Source organism: Homo sapiens, chromosome 22, assembly GCF_000001405.40.
Source record: "Homo sapiens chromosome 22, GRCh38.p14 Primary Assembly".
In the NCBI taxonomy this organism is placed as follows: Eukaryota; Metazoa; Chordata; class Mammalia; order Primates; family Hominidae; genus Homo; species Homo sapiens.
Window position 1 is genome coordinate 22986657 of NC_000022.11, and position 6061 is coordinate 22992717.

General features: G+C 41.5%; 1 pseudogene; it reads left to right on the forward strand.

Annotated features, from left to right (window-relative positions):
* The first annotated feature begins 1607 nt into the window (after positions 1 to 1607).
* On the forward strand, positions 1608 to 1933 carry ATP5PFP2 (ATP5PF pseudogene 2; annotated as a pseudogene).
* Positions 1934 to 6061: the final 4128 nt, after the last annotated feature.

The window sequence follows — 6061 nt, forward strand, 5'->3', positions numbered from 1 at the left end:
ATTCTCACCAACTCTACCCCCAGGGCCATGCTGCCGTCATCTCTCATCTCAGTTAAAACAGCCTCTTTGGGTTCCCTGCTCCCACCCTAGCTTCTCTGCATGAAGACTCCACAAAGCAGCTAAAGGAGCCTATTCTAACTCAAGGCACACAATGGCACTTTCCAGCTCAGAGCCCTCCAGCGCCTCTCCATCACCAAGAGTGAAAGCCCAGTTGCTTACAATGGCCTACATCAGGCTGCAGGGGATCTGCACCTCCTTCCCTCTCAGGCCTTGCCTCTTAGGATGCCTGTCCCCAGCTCTAGTCAGCATCCTTCAATGTTTCTGCCATGCTTCCACTTCAGGGCCTGTGCCTGGATGCTCTCTCTGGATATCCCCACGGGTCCCTCCCCTCACCTCTTCTGGTCTCCCTTGGCTCTCTCTTATGCAGTCAGCCCCGGCCGCCCTGTTACTCAGGGTTCCTGGCCACTTCCCCACCTTTCTTTGCTATATAGTGCTTATTGCTGTCTGTTATGCTATAAAATCATCCTCTAATTTATTGTGTTGTTTCTCTTCTTTCCAAAAGCATGTTGGCCTCATGAGGGCAGGGATGGGATTTTTGTCTATTTCACTCACTAATGTGTCCTTAACACCTACAATGGGCCAGGGGCAGTGGCTCACGCCTGTAATCCCAGCACTTTGGAAGGCCGAGGCAGGTGGATCACCGGAGGTCGGGAGTTTGAGACGAGCCTGATCAACATGGAGAAACCCCGTCTCTACTAAAAATACAAAATTAGCTGGGCGTGGTGGTGCATGCCTGTAATCCCAGCTACTCAGGAGGCTGAGGCAGGAGAATCACTTGAACCCAGGAGGCGGAGGTTGCAGTGAGCCGAGATCGCACCATTGCACTCCAGCCTGTGCAACAAGAGCAAAACTCCATCTCAAAAAGAAACAAAAAACAAAAAACACCTACAACGGTACCTCACCTATAGTTGGCAATGGACCCTAATGCATATGAAATTAATAATGACTTTTTTTTTAAGATGGAGTCTTGCTGTGTCACACAGGCTGGAGTGCAATGGTGCAATCACAGCTCACTATAACCCCCATCTCCCGGGATTACACGTGCCCTCTACCATGCCCAGCTAATTTTTGTATTTTTAGTAGAGATGGGGTTTTACCATGTTGGCCAGGCTGGTCTCAAACTCCTGACCTCAAATGATCCACTCGCCTCAGCCTCCCAAAGTACTGGGATTACAGGCATGAGCCACCGCACCCAACCATGAATGACTTTTTACTCTACCTTTTCATTTAATAATGTAATAAGAATATATTTCTAAGTCTATATAAACACAGATAGAGATACTTTATATGCAGTTGCGTGGTACTATATCATATAGATATTTCATTATTTATTCACTGCATTACTGGGCAATTTAGACTATAAATAAGTTTTCACTATTCTGATACAGTCAACATTAACAGTAAAAATAACCATTACTCAAGCACTTATGTGCCTCTTCTAGATTTTTTTGCTTTATATTTGTCACTGCTAAGATGTTTAGGAAGTAGATTGGTGGCGGTGGTGGCTTTGGCAGCTCAGGACCGAGTGCAAGTAACATAGAATCAGCATGACTCTTCAGAGGCTCTTCAGGTTCTCCTCTGTCATTCTGTCAGCAGTCTCAGTCCATTTGTGGAGGAACATCAGTGTTACAGCAGTGGCATTTAATAAGGAACTTGATCCTATACAGAAACTCTTGTGGACAAGATTAGAGAATACAAATCGAAGTGACAGACATCTGGAGGACCTGTTGATACTGGTCCAGAGTATCAGCAAGAGCTTGAGAGGGAGCTTTTTAAGTTCAAGCAAATGTTTGGTAAAACAGACATGAATACATTTCCCAACTTCAAATTTGAAGATCCCAAATCTGAAGTCATCGAAAAACCCCAGGTCTGAAGAAATAAAGTGAAATTAATCTGGTAATTTATCATGGGTCAATTGTACAACTAGTTAGAAGTTTCAGAATAAACATACATTTCATAACGGTCAAAAAAAAAAAGATGTTTAAAGCATGTATGTTCCCAACTGTCTTATTAGTACATTTTACCTTTTATATTTATTTTGAAAAACTGTTTTCTTTAATGCTTTTGGGTTTTTTTTTTTCCAAGATCTCTCTGCTGCCCAGGCTAGCATGCAGTGGCACAACCATGGCTCACCACAGCCTTGACAACTGCTTCAATTGATCCTCCCACCTCAGCCTCCCAAGTAGCTGAGACTACAGGTGCATGCCACCATGCTCAGCTAATTTTTGTATTTTTTTGAAGAGACAGGGTCTCACTATGTTGCCCTGGCCGGTCACAAACTTCTGGGCTCAAGCAACCCACACACCTCAGCCTCCCAAACTGCCAGGACTATAGGCGTGAGCCACCACACCTTGCCTGCTTTGATTGTGAATGCTACTTTATTTCATATTAGTATCATCGATGCTGTTTTATTTTTGTTTTCATTTACCTAAAAGACTTTGTTGTTTTCAGCCTCTCTTGATAATTTGGGTTTAAATGTGTCTCATGTCAGCAGCATAATAGTGAGGTTTTGGTTTCTATTGCAGTGGTTACCTCCACTCCATTCAAAAGTTATTATTGGTTTAGGAGGTATTTTATTCATTGTAAATGCTTCTAGGAGTTTTTATTTTGAAAGTAACAGGTGTTGATTAGTTAAAAAAAAAAAAAAAAGTTACAGCCCAAGCATAGAATTTGAAATTTCCTCCCTACTCCATCTCTATAACCAATAATTCCAGCCCCCAGAAATATTGTTATATCCACTGGTAGAATTACTCCCAGGCAAATATAAACATACGTGCACAAGTGCAATAGACATAGATAAAATTTTAATGAGATTATATTTATTGTTTACCTTATTTTTATGACTTAATAAAGCTACCCTATTATTTTTGTATGCTATGTTATATTTCATCATATTCATGTACAACAGTATTCTAACCAGTCTCTTAATCCTAGATGTCTGTTAGATTGTTAAATTTTTAAATTACAGTATTTCAAACAAATTACACTCCTACAAATATTTCTGCATTAGGGAATTGCAAGTAGAAGTTTAGTATCCATTCTCCAAAGTGCTTGAGACCAGAAGTGCTTCACATTTTAGATTTTCTCAGATTTTGGGATATTTGTATTATAATACTAGTTGTGATATAGGACAGGCAAGCCCCAAACAGGGGCCTGGCCCATGAAGGCTCTTGGCTTTGCCCAGGAAAGAATCCAAGGGCAAGCCAGAGGTAGAAGAAAACAGTTTTATTGAAGAGGCAGTGTTACAGCTCCATACTGCTCTTGCAAAGCAGGGATACCCCATAGGCAGAGAGGAGCAGTTGAGGGCAGTTTTGCAGTCACATTTATACCCACTTTTAATAACATGCAGATTAAAGGACAGTTTATGTAGAAAGTTCTAGGGAAGGGTTAGTAACTCTTGGGTTTTCAGGTCATTGCCATAGAAAGGGGCGGTAACTCCCCGGTGTTGCCATGGCGGTGGTAAATTGACATGGCACACTGGTGGGTGTGTCTGATTGGAAAGCTGCTTCCACCCTGGCCCTGTTTTAGCTAGTCCTCAATCTGGTCCAGTGTCTGAGCCCAGCCTCTGGAGTCCAGTCCCACCTCCTACCTCAGTTGAGCATCCCAAATTAAAAAACCCAAAATCCAAAAACGTTCTAATGAGTATTTCCTCATGTTAGTGCTCAAAAAGTTTCAGATTTTGGAGCATTTCAGATTTCAGATTTTCAGATATAGGACGCCCAACCTGTATATCAGTGGAGCACGTGAAGAGCAGCAGCAGCAGGACAGTTATTCTACTCTTTTCACTTCCTTCCTTGTTGCCTGGCTTCTAATTCATCATCAGAGATTATATGGAAGAAACATTAATGGGAATTCTGCCCAGGGAATAATTCCTTTTGAGAAAATGTGAAATTCAGTGAGAATGTGCATTTGTGAGCATTAATTCTTGGAGTTAGACTAAAAGTTCTGATATGTAGTCCTCTTTTGATTTTCAGATAGGTATATCTCTTTTGGCCTTCAATATTGGCAGTAGCCATATTATGGACCTGGCTGGGATAGACGCATCTTCAGGAATTGCTATTGGGGCTGGTAAGTGGAATGTAAGTAATATTATTTGCAGCAACAAACCTCCATCTTTATCATTATCCAAATAAAACTATATAAACATAAAAATTTGCTTTCAACTTTGAGTAAATATAAAAGAATTCTTGTGAAGTCATAGAGGAAAGAAGCCAAGTCTTTGACTTGTCAAAGGGATTCTGCTGATTTTCATTCTACTTAGTAAATTAATGGAGAGAGAATGTTTACATTCCAAGGAAATAGGAATGCAGTGAAGAAAGAACTGTTAGTAGATAGGTTAAGAAAAGATCATATTTAGCCGGGCATGGTGGCGCCTGCCTGTAATCCCAGCTACTTGGGAGGCTGAGGAAGGAGAATCGCTTGAACCCGGGAGGCAGAGGTTGCAGTGAGCCGAGAATGCACCACTGCACTCCAGCCTGGGCAACAAGAGCGAAACTCTGTAAGAAGAGAAAGAGAAAGAGAAGGAGAAAGAGAGGAGAAGGAGAAGGAGGAGAAAGAGAAAAAAGGAGAAGGAGAGAGAGAGAAAGAGAAACAAAGAAAGAAAGAAAGAGAGGGAGAGAGGGAGAGAGGGAGAGAGGGAGAGAGGGAGAGAGGGAGAGAGGGAGAGAGGGAGAGAGGGAGAGAGGGAGAGAGGGAGAGAGGGAGAGGGGAAGGAAGGAAGGAACCATATTAACATTAAACACATATGCAGATATATATGTATATGTGTGTATATGTGTGTGTGTGTGTATACAGAGACACACACACACACATATATATACACATATATATCTGTATGTATATATTCTGCCCTTTGCAGTACATACTGAGAATGGGCTCAGCCAATGTCCTTGAGATATTCAACTAGGAACTACAAATCTTCTGATTAATCTCCCAGGAGTACCAGGTTTTAACCTTATAAATATTTGATTATTTATTTAATTTGTGGCATATCTTCATAAAAAAGGATGAGTTCATGTCCTTTGCAGGGACATGGATGAAGCTGGAAACCATCATTCTGAGCAAACTATCATAAGGACAGAAAAACACCGCATGTTCTCACTCATAGGTGGGAACTGAAGAATGAGAACACTTGGACACAGGTTGGGGAACATCACACACCGGGGCCTGTCATGGGGTGGGAGGCTGGGGGATGGATAGCATTAGGAGAAATGCCTAATGTAAATGATGAGTTAATAGGTGCAGCAAACCAACACGGCACATGTATACATACGTAACAAACCTGCACGTTGTGCACATGTACCCTCGAACTTAAAATGTAATTTAAAAAAAATTGTGGCATATCTTTGTTATAGGAAATAGAATTTATTCTCCTAAATTATAAATGATTTTATAATTCTTTGGTAATTAACCTATCTCTGTATAAACCATTTGACATTTTAGAAATAAATCAGAAAGCTCCATCCTTTCTGAGTCTCACCTTTTTTCTCAGACTATAAAAAAATAAAGAATACTTCTGCAGTCAAAACCTAGTAAGAAGCCCTGGCCTTCACCGCCATTTACCCGTCAGAATTTTCTGGGGTTTGTTTGTTTGTTTTGGTACCTGGTAGTCATCTTAGTAAGATTGTGTTATACTTTCCATAGTTTCCATACACATTGTTTCAACATAATCAACAGACCAAATGCAGAGAAGCTGGTGGAAGCCCAAGGCTGTGGAGGCTGCTGGAAGACAGCCTCCCAAGCTTTAGAGATGCAGGCCTGACCAGAAGCAGGTGCAAATTTTCCTTCTTGATTATGAGGTGGGGAAATCAAGTCCAAACATTATTCCTATGTAATCCCTTTTGTAAGTCAAATTTGTTTTCTCCATGAGCCACTTGGTTTTAAGTTTCCCAAGTCATTTAGTGGTCTTGCTGCAGTCGTTGAGATCTACCTGTGGCCCCTTCCTGGAATTGGGCAGTGTTTTGAACCCCATCTGCCTCTTCTAGAAAGGTTCCCACCCAAT